Source organism: Homo sapiens, chromosome 8 (assembly GCF_000001405.40).
Source record: "Homo sapiens chromosome 8, GRCh38.p14 Primary Assembly".
NCBI lineage: Eukaryota > Metazoa > Chordata > Mammalia > Primates > Hominidae > Homo > Homo sapiens.
This window is the reverse complement of record NC_000008.11, coordinates 98440031-98457755: the sequence shown is the minus strand read 5'-3', so window position 1 is coordinate 98457755 and position 17725 is coordinate 98440031. Positions and strand designations below refer to the sequence as shown.

The 17725-nt window shown below is 37.9% G+C and overlaps 1 protein-coding gene across 16 annotated transcripts in view; it reads left to right on the top strand.

Moving 5' to 3' along the window:
• The window catches only part of STK3 (serine/threonine kinase 3), a 598636-nt gene that overhangs the window by 484855 nt on the left and 96056 nt on the right, over positions 1–17725 (top strand). For 6 of the 16 annotated variants that reach the window (XM_011517252.4, XM_011517248.3, NM_001256312.2 and 3 more), the window contains one exon: positions 1756–3123. The exons of 6 other annotated variants lie outside the window; for them this stretch is intronic. In XM_011517252.4, coding sequence (XP_011515554.2) covers positions 1756–1914 — 159 coding nt within the window. In that variant the 3' untranslated portion in view covers positions 1915–3123. Of the gene's footprint in view, positions 1–462; positions 3124–17725 lie in introns of those variants that run through there. 4 more of the 16 variants (XM_047422135.1, XM_017013758.2, XM_047422134.1 and 1 more) reach the window with 3 other exon arrangements.

Here is a 17725-nt window from a genome sequence, read left to right as displayed (position 1 = left end):
CTTCTGATCTTAGAGTAACCCACTCCTTTGGGTCATATATTCTTATTCATATTTATCTATCTACGTTTACGTCATGTTATTTGCAGTATAGTAGGATAGTTTCTTGGTGTATGTACAGTCTCTAAAGTCTAAGTATTTTTTGGAATATCTAGGGACATGAAACTCATGCATAAAAATCAATTATAAAATAGTACATGATTTAGAATCAAATACTAAATTGTGTTGTTTAAATTATGAGTGTTACATAGAAATTTAGAAATGGGAAAGATTAACATGGGCTGAAATAGAGATGATGTTGAAGAACACAGAAGTGGAACTGGATCCTACATAGACATAGTTGGGCATGTCTTTCTTGGGAAATGTGGTTGTGTGGTATACATTGGCCTTTCAATGTGGCCATTACCGATGTGTACAGTTCAAAGTTTGGAGTTTCCCTGTTTGTCTTATTCTGTATCTCCACAGTGATTTGAACAGCACTGAGCATGTAACAGATGCAAGATCACTACTTGGATTAAAAATCAATGAAGAAAGTGTATAATACTACATATGATATATAAATGTATGTTTTATGGCATAATATTAAAAGCTAGGTTCTTTCATGACATATGACTACAAAATAACAGGGCTGATTATTAATATACATACCAGAACTTCTTATGCACCGAAGTGAGTGGCATTCACCTTCAAAGTCATCATCATGGAAGCCTGCATACTCTTCTCCATAACACTGTCATTTCTCAAAATATTTTTGGAACTCCTTTTTTGAATTTCCTTCAGAGAGTCTATGACTCATTCTTTTCAGTATCCTCAGAGTCTTTTTCAGCTAAGAGTGAATTTGGTTTTTGGAAGCAGAAGTCACGATAGGGCCAGGGATGGCGAGTAAAAGGATCTGCTGAGAAATGCTACTTTGGATGACTATAAGTAATGAGTATTTTTCCTAGCTTGACTCATAAAATAACCAAAGGCAATTATCTTCTTAAAACAAAAAGTAAGTTGCAAGTTTTATCATTTTAAAACCAAGCCTGAGCTGGGTGCAGTGGCACATCCCAGCTACTGAGGAGGTCAAGGCAGGAGGATCTCTTGAGCCCAGAAGTTTGAGACCTTGTGTCAAAAAAAATAAGAAGAAGAAGAAGAAGAAAAGAAAACCAAATCTGGATTACTCTTACATAACTGTCCTACTCCAGAATTGATCATGGCTTCCTGCTTTTGGGGCCCCACCAGGCCTATTCAGCCTTACTTCCCGCCCCCTACCACAGTCATCTTCTTTATTAAGCATTTAGTAAAATGGAGGATAGAATGGTTAATTTAACCTTTATTCAGTCTTGTCACATTCTTGAGTGATCTCTGCAAGTGTTCATGATTATTGTAGCACTCAGTAGCTGGCAAAGATGTAAAAAGTTAGAGTGAATATACCTGGAACATATTCTGAAAATCTGTTTGTTGGCAGTGGTGGATTTGTCTTTGTACCTTTTTACAAATTCCATCAGCGTATTTTTCTCATTTGCCCTTTATTAAAGGCAGAGGATCGGATTGCTTCATTGCAGATTACTGGAGGTTCTTGCAAGATATGACCTCTGAGTTCTTCAAGGAAGAAATTCCTGTTTTAATTGTTGAACTATACTTCAAAGATGATGTAAAGAATTTGCTGAAATATTTATGTTAAAACTCATTAGACATTAAAGTCTAATTTCATTGTATTGATTGTGGATAATGTGGATAATTTCATTGTATTGGTATCTTTCTTTCTGTATCTAGTTGAAAAATCTAAGTTTAGAAGAACTACAGATGCGGTTAAAAGCACTGGACCCCATGATGGAACGGGAGATAGAAGAACTTCGTCAGAGATACACTGCGAAAAGACAGCCCATTCTGGATGCGATGGATGCAAAGAAAAGAAGGCAGCAAAACTTTTGAGTCTAATTTCCTCTCTGTTTTTAACTATTCTGGAGACCAAGAAACCACTAGGAATTGAAGGAATATTTGGATATTTTTAATCCTAAGATTTTGCCCTACAATTAGGCAGAGGTCAAAAAGTGACAATGGTACATGCCCAGGTAAATTCCCAAAAGGCAGAATTGACAGTTGTATCTGCTGTGCATTCACTCTAAGATGAGGAGAACAAAAGAAGTGTATTCTCTTGTTCTGTCAGCTGCATACCAGTAATAAAACTGTTATGAAATGGATTTTCAAGGTCTCTAAACCTTGAAAATCCAAAGCTATTGTTGCATTGTACAGCACTGAAGGGCTTTATGTTACAATATTCTTTATTCCTATCTAGTATACTAGGCTATTTATTGTATCCCCTTAGGTAAACTTATTTATTTATGCTATTTTGCTTTGTTTCATTTTTTAAGGACAAGATCAGGATAGCTTTGGTGAAGGTAGGGTCATATTAATATGATGATAATGTGCAACCAATTTATACTTTCTGCAGGGAGCTATGGGGTACATTCCTTGATTTCCAGGATAGTTTTTCAAATAGGAAAGCAATAATGGCAGTAGTTCTCAAATGGGCTAGGCCTTTTTTATATTGAAGCAATAATTCCATTTTTACCCTTTGAAATTTTGTTTTTTTGATTTTTGATGTTTGGTACAAATAGAACTATATATATTTAGGTAAAATAGATCTATCGTGTTTAAAACCAAAGAAATCAATGGAACCCTTGCACAAAAAAGTGTGATAAATATTTTTAAATAAAAACTTAATACAAATGTAATTTGTTAATATTGTTTCATGTTTTATGTGTAGATCTAATAGCTGAACTGATTCAAACTGTAATAAGCTCATCAATTTCATTTCTATGAAAATGTGCTCTGTTGTCACAGGATGTTTCTGTTGATTTTATTCATTTCCTGGGAATTGGTAAACATCATGTTCCTGATGATAACCCAGTAGCAAAAACATTTGTACTGAGTGGTACAAGCCTTGGGGACTGAAAAAAAAAAGATTAAAACCATTAAAAAGAAACTCATTTTTACGCTGAATGAACATTTATATGATTGCATTGGGACCAGTCATTTCCTAAGCTACATATGGCCATCTTGACAGTGTTTTTTCTTTTGTGTGTTTAATTATTATGTGTAAATCATAAAGACAAATAAATTTCACTGTGCCACCCAGCATATTTCGTTTCTGTATCTTTGTTAAAACTCATGACCTGGACTCTGCATTTTCCAAGCAAGGGACGTATATTAGTTAGGACAGGCTAGATTATGCAGTGCTGACAACCCTCACCCTTCAGCGGCTTCACATAATACAGGTTATTCCTCACTCTTGCTCCAGGCCCACCCCAGTTTGGCAGGGCGCCCTGCTCCTATCATCCACACCCAGGGACCTGCTGACAGGGCCTCAACCATCTGAGATATCTGTGGTCACCACAATAAGGAGAAGGGGAGCTGGAGAGTTTCATACTAGCTCCAGCCAGTAGTGATACATGTCTGGTTGGCCACAACCCAGTATTCAGAATTAGTCACATGGACACTCCTAACTTCGAGGGAGTCAGGAAGAGTAGCATCACCACGTAGCTGGAGGGGAGAGAACAGGAAAAGCTGATGAGTTCACTAATGTCTGTCACAGAAGGTATATTGTCTCTGGAAAGCTTCCATTCCTTTTTAAAAATGGTATTTGTACCCTAGGTAATGCCTCAAAGTGTCATTTGTCTCTACCCTGTTGAGCCCTTACAAATAATAATAAATTGTATAATTGGATACAAATTATAAGATTATAAAAAGAACGATAAGTATGAAACATACAAAGATTATTAAAAAATGAAGAACTGAATTTACAATATATGCTTCAGCAAATCTATACTGGAGTCTGTTGGGGACAGTTGTGTGAGTTGATCAACTGAAACACCCTGCCCTTTTTTCTTTTCCTAATTATTTTTCTTTTTACTAACCTGTTCGATATCTTGCCTGATTTGATGGAATCAAATGACTGATTTGCTGTCATCCAAGCAAAACCACCTACATGACATGGACAAGAAACCTATGAAGATGATTTCTCTTCAGTTTGCTAAATTAGAAAATGTATGCAAATTAACTCAGCGAGGCCTGTTAACCACTCTTAATTCAATCTCGAGAGTCCTCCTTTTAATATGTCAAGTGTTCCACTCACATTGCAATTTTCTGCAGTTAGACTTTATATCCTATTATATCTATGTCTATTTAAGTGTATGTACACAAATACACACATATATTTAAGAGAATTAAGAGGAATGGGCATTGTTTTATTTTAGAGCCCTAGGAAACTCCAAAACATTTTAGGATGACCTACTTTTAAATTTTTCCTATCTTCTTACTCTTTGCCCCTACCAGTCAAAGGAATTTAAGATATGTTTTGAAGAATCACAAGCCATGAAAGAAATCTGCCTGGGTGCAGTGGCTCACACCTGTAATCCCAGCACTTTGGGAGGCCGAGGCAGGCAGATCACAAGGTCAGGAGTTCGAGACCAGCCTGACTAATATGGTGAAACCCCATCTCTACTGAAAATACAAAAATTAGCTGGGCGTGGTGGCACATGCCCGTAATCCCAGCTACTCAGGAGGCTGAGGCAGGAGAATCACTTGAACCCAGGAGGCAGAAGGTTGCAGTGGGCCAAGATCACACCACTGCGCTCCAGCCTGGGTGACAGAGCGAGACTCTGTCTCGAAAAAAAAAAAAAAAAAAAAAAAACAAGAAAGAAATCAAGTCTAGGCCAGGCTTGGTGGCTCATGCCTGTAATCCCAGCACTTTGGGAGGCTGAGGCCAGCAGATCACTTGAGGTCAAGAGTTCAAGACCAGCCTGACCAACATGGTGAAACCCTGTCTCTACTAAAAATACAAAAATTAGCTGATCGTGGTAGCAGGCGCCTGTAATCCCAGCTACTTGGGAGGCTAAGGGAGGAGAATCGCTTGAACCTGGAAGGCGGAGGTTGCAGTGAGCTGAGATCACACCACTGCACCCCAGCCTGGGCAACAGAGTAAGGCTTTGTCTCAAAAAAAAAAAAAAAAAAAAATCTTCAAGTCTAGTTAAGCCTTGATTAATCATGATGCTTAGGAAAGACAGTTTTCTAGTTATTTTAATGAGTTTAAGAAGAAACCTATTTTAACCTGGTTGCTGGGAACTTTCCAAAAATAGGTAAGTGTACTTTTCTGCACACCTCATCCTTTAATAAATACAGTATCGTGAATGTAACTGAAGCTAGTGAATCAGGGTTTCATCTTGCTGAAAAGCTAGTATCATTGTATATATTGTCCTGTAGATGATAAAGTTTTTTCTTTGGTGTAATGAACTTAGATGACTCATTTCTACAGACTTAAAATACACTTAGCTTATTTTAGCAGAAATAGTTTTATGTTCAAAGTATGAACTAATTTGGCAAATACAAATTGGAGAAGAAAGTGTATTCAAATGGATTTCAAAATAATAACACCTGTTATTCGGGGCACTTACTATATGTCAGACACTTTGATGAACAACCTTAAATACATTACTTACCGCTGTTATATTTTTCCTCCGCTTATTTACTGAATCACCTCCCCAGTGTTCAAAATCATGCTCTACTCACTGAAGGATGTGCAGTTCTGTAACAAATTATATAATACATTAATAAGATGTTTTTTAACTTAGTCACAGGAAATCTTTTCAAATTACTGATTAGCATTCAATAGGATTGCTATTTTCATTTCCTATCCTGTATGTTAAAGATTAATGATTAAAATAAATCCTGAAAATGCTAATAACATTCTAAGTAGAACATCATTAAAGAAAAATAATTGGAGTTATATCGCATTACTAAACCATTATTAGGCATAGGCATTTAATTAGATATTTCATCAAAATGCAATTTTGGAGTACCAGGGTTTTTTTTTTTGTTTTTTTTTTTTTGGCCTGAAAGACTAGGAATCTGGAATCTAATGAGAACTATTTTTCTTTGCCGTTTGGGCAACATGATGGGACCTGGACCCAAGGAAGTTTTACAGACCCTGGTCGGGCAGTCTGATGCCACTGAGTGGTGACTTCCAGGGAGTCAGTCAGTTTTGCCCTGTTCCATACAAACCACCTTCAACCTCAGCCAACTACCTTCTACTTCCTTTTGGGGTCCCAGAAAGACTCCAAGAGGGGAAGCAGAGAACCAGCTCAATTCTTCCACCAATCTTGGAAAAACAATTCCTACTTCATGCTCTTCTCACACTGGACCACATCATTAGTCAGACTCTTTGCCACCACTTTCTTCACTTGATAAAGCTACCTAAATAAAAATTAGGATTTTTTAATTGCTTTTCTGCTCACAGAATTTTGCCAAGTTGAGAATGAACTCTGTCTCCTGGCATTCAAGACCTGCAACAGGCCTCAAGTGACGTTTATGACCTTATCTCCATTATTGTTTTATTTGAGCCCTTTCCGCCAACAAACTGAACTGCTTCCAAACTCTCTATATCATTATTTTATTTATGGGTTGTAAAGTTCCTGACGGCAGAGACTTGGTGTTTATCCATCTTGTTTCCCCACAATGCATGCCAGTATATTAGATATAATTTGGTATTAAAGTTTCATTGAACGCCATGAGCTCAAACAAAAAAAAATTGTCATTAATCATACAGGCTGTCTTTCTCCTTGGCATCCACATAATCACCATAACAACAATAATAATAATTTTGTGAGCATCTACTAACCCATGCATTTTTGATACACCATCTCAAACCTCCACAAGAAGATGCATATTCCCTTTGGTGAAAAAGAAAGGGAGGACTGAAAAGAAAGAATTAGAGAGATTAAATGAGGTCACACAGCTAGTTAATGCCAGTAGTGGCCTTACACTCCCATCTGTCTCTAAAATCTTTGCATTTCCGCTAGACCACATAGCCTAATAAACAGGAGGTCTAGCTTTAGAATGTTAGGGTTGCTGAGCCTGCTTGCTGATGGCTCTTCAGTTACAACTTAGGACTGTTGTTGGATGACTTTACCTCTTTCACATTTCAGTGGAATCTATATTTTCTGAAATGGCATCCTTCCTACATGTAGAAAAAGGATGCAGGGTGCATGCATTCAAGCTTCCAAGATGAGTCGTACAAGATTTTTTTCTTTTATTATTTTAGGATATACGTGGCGTTCTTGTGCCTTGAAATCTATGTTTTGTTGTAAATGATAATGTATTATATTCTCTCTTATCAGTCTTTCTTTGATAATGATTGCTTTAGAGAAACATTAATCAGCATGGCGGAAGGAGCCTGGCATCAGAAATTAAATGATCTGGGTTCAAATCCCAGTTGTTCTTTTGCACTTTTGTTGTCTTGGGCAGAAATAACCATTTAATCATTCTGTGTTTCAATATCTTCATCTGTAATACAGCAATTGGGAAGATCAAATGTTCTAGGACATGTACAATATTTAGCAAAGTTCTTGACATATGACACGTAAATACTAAATTAAAAAACAAACTTTTAACTCTTTTTAGTTTAGTGCCATGTTTTTGCAAGAATGAAGAAGGGGGCTCTGTTCCTTGATAAGCAAGCTGATTGTTACTTCGAAAGTGAATTAGAGTCACCTAGAACCCAGTTAGGCCTTCTCGTAAGGGCCTGACCTACTCTCTGGTGGTGATTTGCACTGAGGAGAATCTATCATGCTCAATTTTTTAAAGTATTCTCTATACACGGAGGAAAGAAAGTTGTATATCTTAGTCCATTTTGTGTTGCTATAATGGTTGAGACTGGGTAATTTATTGAATACCTGAGACTGGGTAATTTAAAGAAAAGAGTTTTATTGGGTTTATGACTCTAGAGGCTGGGAACGTCAAGAACCATGATGCTGGCATCTGGTTGGCTTCTGGTGAGAGCCTCATACTGTGTCACAGTGTGGCGGAGAAACAAAAGGGAAAGCGAGTGTGTTTGAAAAGGGGTAAATATGAGAGGACATCTTTCTTTAGAATAGCCCATTCACTCAGAGACCAATCCATTTCCGGAGAACTAACGCAGTATCAAGAGAAAGGCATTAATCTATTTTAACATCCTAATCACCTCCTAAAGGCACCTCCTCCCACCACTGGTACATTGGCAATTAAATTTCAACATGAGTTTTGGCAGGAACAAACACATCCAAATCATAACATTATGTTATGCTAAACTTTCCCCCTCCTCTTTAAGATGATTATTGTAAGGATATTGTTAAGGCCAGCATAAGTTGCCCCATTTGTGATGACCCATCAGGAAATATCAAATTTATGTTCTTAAAGTTTTGGTTCACTGAAGTTTCATCGTTCTTGGTCCTTACAAATATGAACCATGTCATTGACTTGGCCTCAATTTGCTTTGGTCCCAGGAAGTTCAAAATTAAATTTATGTTTTAATAGTTTGTAGGATTCTATGCTGTATATATCTACATTTCTCTGATCCTATATTTATAACAACTGAAAATACCTTTTTAAAGGAACTATCTGGAGGCATGGGTTCTTCCACTAAAAAACATCTGATCAACCATGTGTAATCTGTGTATCTTCTCACAGAGTTCTTGTGAGTGTCAAATATGGCAATATGTATCAAGGTGAGTTGTAGTTCAATTGCTGGAATCTTCTGTATGGGAATATTACCATCCAGGAGGAAAGGGAACTCTAGAATATAAGGTTCCCAGAGACTGAGATAACTTCTCTTCTTCTTCTTCTGGAAGGAGCCAAGATAGAGAACATCACAGTACCTTTGGCCCTCACACCTCCTGTCCTCACAACCTGTTTTCAAATCACATTAACACAAAAACTGATTCAAGCTTACCAGGCAAGCACCTTTCAGTCCCAGGTCAGCCAACACATCAGAAAGAATTTCTTATAAAAAAATCTACCTCTCTGTATTTTTCCATTTTTACTATTCAATTCATAAGTTACTTAATGTTTTCTATAGAAAGAGAAGGATATGAAGGAAAAAAAAGATGAGAGCAAAGAAAAATAGTTTTTAGCATGATACAAATGACATTTTAACCAAAAATTACAAATCTATGTCATACCCCATGTTTCCTCAACAGAAAAGTGAGTCTATGTCATTTTATGAGAGAGCACTAAGAATTAATCAGTTCAAAATTTTTCTGGTAGAAAATCCAGTGCCTGCCTATGTTTAAACCAAGCAACTAGTTGTCTTTTAAATTTTTATAGAATGTCCAAGGTGAACTGTAATTAGTTGAGTGGAAGCTAAATAAAACCTGATACTAAAGCACTGAGCTTTTAAATATTCCCTGATGTTCAGTGTATACCGACCATGTTAGATAGGGCACTCCTGCACCTGCGCATTTTTCAGCCTTTCCACTTATTCTATGACAGCTTTCTTTCCCATTTGGAAAGAAAATATTCTTGGCAAAACATTTGAATGAAAAGACGTAATAGCACTTGGAACAGAAGTCTTTGATGTCAAGGAAAAACAAGGTACATGGAGGAATCTGAAATGTGGAATTGTTTCATTATTAATCAATCAGTGTGCAAATTCATGAATTCCTTCTCTGTTGTCCTTCCATAAAGTATATAGGAGTTTATTTTAAAAGCACACCAGCTGACGACCATAAATCAGTTTGCATGCTTAGCATGTCATCTTTAAAAATTATATGTGATATTACAGCCTGATAGTAATGAATGAATGAAATGGACCTTTAAAAGTTTCAGCAAAGCTTTTTGATTCTGAGAGTAAATTAATTGCTTTAACAAGTAAGTAGTGATTTGGAGTTTGATTTGAATTTGAATGTGTCAGGCAGTCAAAAAAGTCCAAGCAGAATGTTTTTAAAGTTCTTTTTTTTTTTCAGTTTATATTGCTTTATTATTATTATTATTATTATTATTATTATACTTTAAGTTTTAGGGTACATGTGCACAATGTGCAGGTTAGTTACATACAAAGTTCTTAATGTAAAATTATTTCAATTTCAGAGTAATCTAATGGGTTGCTAGTTTTTTAATCTTGTTCAATGAATCCTGGTGCCTTGCTCAGTTCCCTGACATTCATCCACAGCAATGATAGCAAACATATATATAATATTGTATATATTTTACAAATATATACAAATACATGCAACATAATGTATTGCAATATATAGATACTATATATAGTATTGCAATATATAGATACTATATATAGTATTGCAATATACAGATACTATATATAGTATTGCAATATATAGATACTATATATAGTATTGCAATATATAGATACTATATATAGTATTGCAATATATAGATACTATATATATATATAGTATATATGCAATACGATATATACAAATACATGCAATATTTGTCTGTGGTATTCTTTTCTAACTTGCCTGAGAGAAAACAATTTCTTCTGACAGAAAAGGCCTATCCTTACTCTGTCCAATTAGAAGTCAATTCATTTCCTTAGTTCTTGAGGTTGTTATAAAAATATAAGAAAGATTATATCTTTTACAGATTGGAAGTCCTCAAAGGTAGGTATCTTTGAAGCTCTGCTGCCTAACTTACTGCATGGCCATGAGTGAGTTCCTTAATCCTTTTTATAAGTCTCACCTTCTTTTTTTAACCTTCTATTTTAGGTTTGGGGACACATGTGAAGGTTTGTTACATAGGTAAATCCATATGTCATGGGGGTTTGTTGTACAGATTATTTCATCATTCAGGTACTAAGCCTAGTACCCAATAGTTATTTTTCGTGTTCCTCTCCCTCTTGCCACCCTCCACCCTGAAGTAGGCGCCAGTGTGTGTTGTTCGCCTCTATGTGTCCATGTGTTCTCATCATTCAGCTCCCCCTTATAAGCAAGAACATGTGGTATTTGGTTTTCTGTTCCTGTGTTTGTTTGCTAACGATAATGGCTTCCAACTCCATCCATGTCCTCACAAAAGACATTATCTCATTCTTTTTTATGGCTGCATGGTATTCTATGGTGTATATATACTGTATTTTCTTTGTCCAGTCTGTCATTGGTGGGCATTTAGGTTGAATCCATGTCCTTGCTATTGTGAGTGATGCAGCAATGAACATTTGCGTGCATATGTCTTTATGGTAGAATGATTTATATTCCTCTGCATATAAACCCAGTAATGGGATTGCTGGGTCAAATAGTAGTTCTATTTTTAGCTCTTTCCACAATGGTTGAACTAATTTACACTCTCACCAACAGTATATAAGCATTCCCTTTTCTCCGCAACCTCACCAGCATCTGTTATTTTTTGACTTTTTAGTAATAGCCATTCTGCCTGATGTGAGATGGTATCTCAGTGGTTTTGATTTGCATTTCTCTAATGATCAGAAGTCTTACCTTCTTTATCAAGCAGAGACAACCTCAGAGGGTTATGAAAAGTAAATGAGAGATGCACAGAAAACCCTTCAAACACTACCTGGCACCCATGAGTACCCATGACTTGCACTTTCTTTACTCATCAACAAGCATCTATTAAGCACCAACTGTGTGCCAGTGTCTAAGCTAAGTGTGAAATACAGAAATAAAGGCAGCTTTGTTCCTACCCAAGAGCTGGTGCTTATAGCCTGGTACAGGCATGGACACCCACGTGTGGTCATTGCAATAAGAAAGATGTAAACAAAGCCCTGCAGGAGTAGGAATAGAGGAAGTCTTCACTAATGAGATATTTGAACTGAGTCTTGAGGCATGTAAGGCAGGAAAGGGAGAAAGGCACTTTGAGGAGGGCAAAGCATATATAAAGACAGAGATGAGAAAGAATGTCTAGCATACCTTTCGGTGTCTGAGAAAGTTCATTACACAATTAAAGCAGTGAGGGTAGTTTGTCTTGCTTACTCTCTCTGCCCTGCAGTTTAGGAGAGGTCATGGAATCATGTGGTCTGTTTTTGTTTTTGTTTTCCCAAATCACTGAATGTTTTCCAGATAAATTAACACCAGTTGGAGCTAGCCTATTTTCTGGTGCCTTTAGATACTGGTCACACTCGGCTGTACTCAATTCTACTGTTTAATAAATATCTAGAAATAGTGATGTCTGCAGAGGCTTGCTGAGGTTAGGTGTTGGGGAAAAAGGGGCAGAGAGAGGTAGGTAGAGAGTTGGCAACAGCTTCTGAGGAGACAGGTTTATATTCAGTTCCTCAAATCAGTTCACTATCTGCATGCTCCGAGTGAAAAGCTTATCTTCTTTTTGTCAGCAGTTTTCTTCTTGAGGCCATCAGCATTTTCCATTTTTAATTAAGGCAATTTACAAAGAAGGATGCATAAAACATAATAAAATAGCTAAATTAAGAACAAATGAGAAAAGATATGACATACGATATTTTACTGTGAAAATACAAAAAAATACAAAAAAAGTAAAATATCTCAATAATCTTTTATATTTATTATGTGTTGAAATAATAATATTTTGGATATGTTTGGTGGAAATATATTATTAAAATTAATTTCATCTGTTTTTCTTTTACTTTTAAAAAATGTGGCTACTAGAAAATATAAAATTATATATGTAGCTCACATTTGTAGTTTGCGTGACATTTCTATTTGACAGTGACAGTCTATTAGCTAAACGCATCCATCAGCTGATGAATGGATAAATGAAATGTATATCCATTCTGGGGAATATGATTTAGCAATAAAAAGGAATAAAATAATGGGGACAGGATTTTTGGGGGAGGTGATGAAATTGTTCTAAAATTGATTATGTGATGGTTGCAGAACTCTGAATATATTAAAAACCGTGGAACTGTACGCTTTAAAAAATGAATACATTGTATTAAGCTATATTATAATCATAAAAATAAAAGTTTTTGAACTACAGAAAACAAAAGATAAAAGTATACTCTGTTGCTCAGAAGAAAGCCAACTATTCTTAGTACCAAGATAAGAAGTGTCTCTCTAATGGCACCCATAGGGAAGCATGCCATCAAAATTGAATTCAACAGCAATATTCAATTATCACTATTCTCAGAGTAAACACAGGGGTAACTCCTGCAGGCCCATCTTTTGTGATGTTTTTAATATTTACTGGTGGCTCAAACTCAGTTTAGTAACTCATGTGCAAATGATTCCCAAATTACTGCCTTTGACCCAAACTTCTCCTTAAAACTTCACATCTGCATTTTTAATGTCCCACACGTACCTCAAGTTCAACATGACCAAACGCCATTCCCCTTGTATTTTCTGCCCAGTTGGTGCCACCATCTTCCATCCAATCACTAATGCTAGAAACCCGGGAGTCCCCCTTAAATCTTCATTGTCTTTCACCCCATGCCATTCTACCTCTGCCAGTTCAGTCTTCCAAGATGTTCCCAAATCTGTGTCCTCTATTCTACCTCCACTACCCTTCAGGCCTCATTGTCTCCTGCCAGAATATCACAGCAGCCCCTTAACTGGGCTCTGTGCCAGGCTTGTTCCTCCTCAGTCGATCTCACCCTGCTCCATCTGCCAGCATGTGAATCCAGGATGCAGTGAATTTCCATCACATGCAGGATAAGGGTCATTAAAGCCTCTCTGACCAGGGCCCCACCTCCCTCTCCTCATCTCTTGACATTCCTTTAAGTGACCTACATCTGCCTAGCTCCTGCCCACCCTCCTGAAATTGAGGCAACCAAGTCTTACTCATCCTTTCAGCTTAGCTCAGGGACACCTCCTCTGTATACCCAGATATAGATCACTGTCACCGCACTTTCTGTATTGCATTATGGTATCTACTTACTCTTCTGTCTTCTCTGCTGACTGTAAGCTGCCTGAGGGCCAGGACTGTGCCCACGTTTTCCTCATCTCTGTAGCACCAGCACAGGCCCTGACAAAGTAATGCTGAATAAACGTTTGTCAAATGATGGGTGGAGGAACCATAGGTAAAATAAACGTGATTTAAATTTTGGATCTAAGCAAATGGTTAAGAAATCTTATTTATTTATTTACTTATTTATTTATTTAGAGACATAGTCTTGCTCTGTCGCCCTGGTTTGATTTCTTATGATGCATGTCTTCAACTATTGTGGAATTACAAATTAACACACTTTAAAACTACATTTGAAATATGCAGTGGTGTGATCTCGGCTCATTGCAATCTCCGCCTCCTAGGTTCAAGCGATTTTCCTGCCTCAGTCACCCGAATAGCTGGGATTACAGGCACGTGCCACCATGCCCGGCTAATTTTTGCATTTTTAGTAGAGACAGTGTTTCGCCATATTGCCTAGGCTGGTCTCAAACTCCTGACCTCAACTGATCCGCCCATCTTGGCCTCCCAAAGTGCTGGGAATAGAGGCATGAGCCACCATGCCCAGCCTATGGTTAAGAAGCCTTAGAAACCCAATTTTTAACTACTAAATGCCTTTGCTGGCCTCCATGAGGACACAGATTGTGTCTATCTTGCTCATCACTATGTTGCCACTATCATTCAGTGTTTGCTGGAAGGGTGGTTGGGAAGACAAGCAAACTCATGAACATAGATACAGGCAGAGAAATGCACTGGAAACAAACTGCCATTCACAAAATCATACCTGTTATCGCCCAAACCTGAGTTAGATTACTCAATAGCCAATACCCTGAAAGCTTGGGAAGCATTTATTTTGGCCTTGAACAAATAATTATCCAATTGAAAGTGAAAATTTAGGTGGCAAATACTGCTGTATTTCCTGAATTCAACTACATTGTCAGGCCTGAAAGAATATACCCCAGTTTCTAAAGGGAGAGACATGAGTTTCTCTATTGTCTTATGGAATGAAAATAGTCACATCTCTGGAGTTCTTTAGAAAGCATGTCTAGACCGTTTAATTCACACAAAACAGACAGATGCCTCACATCTGCTTTACAAAAATGAGAAAAACAGAGTCTGGGTTTTTTGTTGTTTTTTTTTTTTGCTTTAGCTAAGAGCCAGTTTAATTTTTATTCCTATAATTCTGTGGTCGTTGGTACAAAAATCTGTGTGAATATTGAGGGATATCTTAATAGTCTCAGGACTTCCTGCACTGTGAGGACCCAACCACAGTACTAAAAAGTGCTTTATAGAATACATACAATCCTCAGTTGAGGTGTTGAGAAGATAAAAACATACTTGCAAGCAGCACAGTAAATGCAATAATATATCTTTTTGCTACCAGTTCTAGTTCTTTATTTTATACATTTGTTATATGTGCAATTACAATGCAAAAATCAAGGGTGAATGACAGACCAACAGCTACCACACAGAGATAGTGGAAATGATATTATTCGTAATGCTGCTAAGCCGCAACACTGAGGAACGAGTTTAACAGTAAGAAGTGCTCAGTCAGCTTCAGCACACATGCAGATGTAGGAACAGACATTCTGCTCTGTCCTTATTCCTACACTTTCCCTAAAACCATAATGTAAAAGGTGAGGGCCTGAAATAACGCACCTTGGTGGTTTTATCTAGCATTTCTGGAAGTGCCATTGGTGCTAACATTTCTTCAGCAAACATTCAGGAAAACTGTGTCTAAACAATTATGTACCAGAGATATTAAGATGATTGGACTATGGCCCATGCCTCGACCAGACATAGACCTGTAAGTTCCGAGTGCTGAGATGAGGGATAACAGGAATGGATGAGGTGCTTTGGGAGCTTGGAGAATTGGAGAGGGGAAGGCTTTTGTTCTAGTTCAGGGAGAGGGGCTGGGGGCTTGAATTATGATAGGGCAGTGGTGTTAGAGAAGAGAGGGCAGATCCCAGAACTATTTAGGAAATTGAGCCAATGGAGCTGGTTCACTAAATGAATTTGTGGGACAAAGAAGAGTGAGAAGATGAAGTTAGCCCTGCAGACTCAACTTGGGCCGCCCCAAAGCAGTGATGCCGTTTATTGGAATAGGAGTGGGTTTTAGGGATGCGAGAATGAGTCCAGAATTGGACATGTTGAATTTTAGATGGCTATGGGATATGCAGGAGCAGGTATCCTGGGGGCAGCTGGAAACATGGGTCTGGAGCTGAATGAGAGAGGGAGACCTGGAAATGAAGACTTAGTAATCAGAGGCATGGATGGAAAGGCCCACGGGAGCTGTGCCAAGTGAGGAAACAAAAAGGGAACAAAGATAAAATTTTAGGGGGCAGTGGAGCAAGAGGGATGGCCAGCAAATTTGACAACAAGCCAGGAGGCATGAGATGGAGTTGGAAGCCAAGAGGGGAGACACTTCAAGGTGGAGATTCTCCACCACTGGTTATAGTACATAGTGGATGCTCAATAAATAAGTGAGCATTGAACAAATAAATGTAGTCAGTAACTACTGAGTTTCCATCTGACTTGAAAACAGACTTTATGTTTGTGCTGATTTATACTATAATGGTGATGGCTGTTGGGTTTGGAGCCAGAAACGAGGGGGCTAGAACCCAGCTCTGCCACTTGCCAGTCAGATGGCCTTGGAAAAGGTACCCAGGCCCAAAGGAAGATATTGCCCACCTCAGTAACTGATCATCAGAAGGAGGTGGCTAAATAAACTTTGATACAACCACACTGTGCAGTGAAAAAGAATGAGGTTGATTTTTATGAACTGATATGGAAAAATATCTCTGAGTGATATTGAGAAGTTTCCAGAACAGAGCAAGCTGCAAAAGCATTTTTCAATTCTCCGGGTATAAAGATGTGTCTATTCATAGAAAGGTCTGGGAAGACATACAGTACACTAGTGCAATAAGAGTAGTTACTCTGGAGCAGGGACTGAGTTTAGAGGGCGGTAGTCATGTGAATTTTGAGTTCTCCCTGTAAGGTTTGATTTCTTTGATTTCAACTATCGTGGAATTACAAATTAACACATTTTGAAACTACATTTAAAATATCTACCTTCTAGTGTTGTGGTGAAGACTAAAATGCAATGACTCTAGACTCATTGCTGCACAAAGGATGCTCCGTACACAGACTATATAAACCACACCTGGTAAGGACTCCTGAAAAAGGCAACGGGAACCCTCATTTTTGAGCATGGGCTCTGTACCTGGCACTTTCTTCACAGTGACCTTCTCTCTAAGGTAGATGTTAAATGTGGCCTTGGGATACATCTCTGTGCTTCCGATTCCTCATGTACCAGTGAAAATTATACTAGAACCTATTTTATAGGGTTTTTGAGAAAGGGAAATGCACGGACATGTGCCTAGTGAATGTTAGCTATTAACATCATCATCCTCCTCCTTAGATTTTAGCTGAGAAGACAAATGTTCAGAAAGATGTTACTTAACCGAATTCTCACAGTAGTAAATGTCTGACCTAGAATTTTAATGAAGATTTATGTAAGTTTTTTGCACTGTACCACTGGTTAATGGTACACACACACACACACACACACGTGCTTATGTAATAAAATTGAATAGAAAACTGAACCAGGGACAGGGGATTGGGGAATGAGGAACTATTGTTTACTGGGCACAGAGTTTTTGTTTTGCAAGATGAAAAGGGTTCTGGAATTGGATGGTGGTGATGGTTGCACAATAATGCGAATGTACTTAATGCCAACAAACTAGACACTTAAAATAGTAAATTTTCTGCTATTTTATCACAATTAAAATTTAGAAAATAAATTTTTAAAAAATGGAAATGGGAGAAATTTGCCTTAAGACTGCCAGCCCAGGAGCTGGAGCTGGAGCTGAAAGGCCCTGCCTGTGTCCGGGGCTCTCAGGGCCTCTGGTCACACTCTCGGTCTGGATTCCTGCCATCTCCCAGTCCCCAACCTTTTGTCCGTCTGTGCCTCTCAGGAGGGCCCCAGGAGCAGCCTACCCTCAACTCCTTTATCCCTTTGGGGCTAGACTGGCCCGCTGGAGCAGATTTGATGCTGGCAGCAGCTATCCCTGGTCCTGCCCCCAGGAATCAGTACGCACATCCT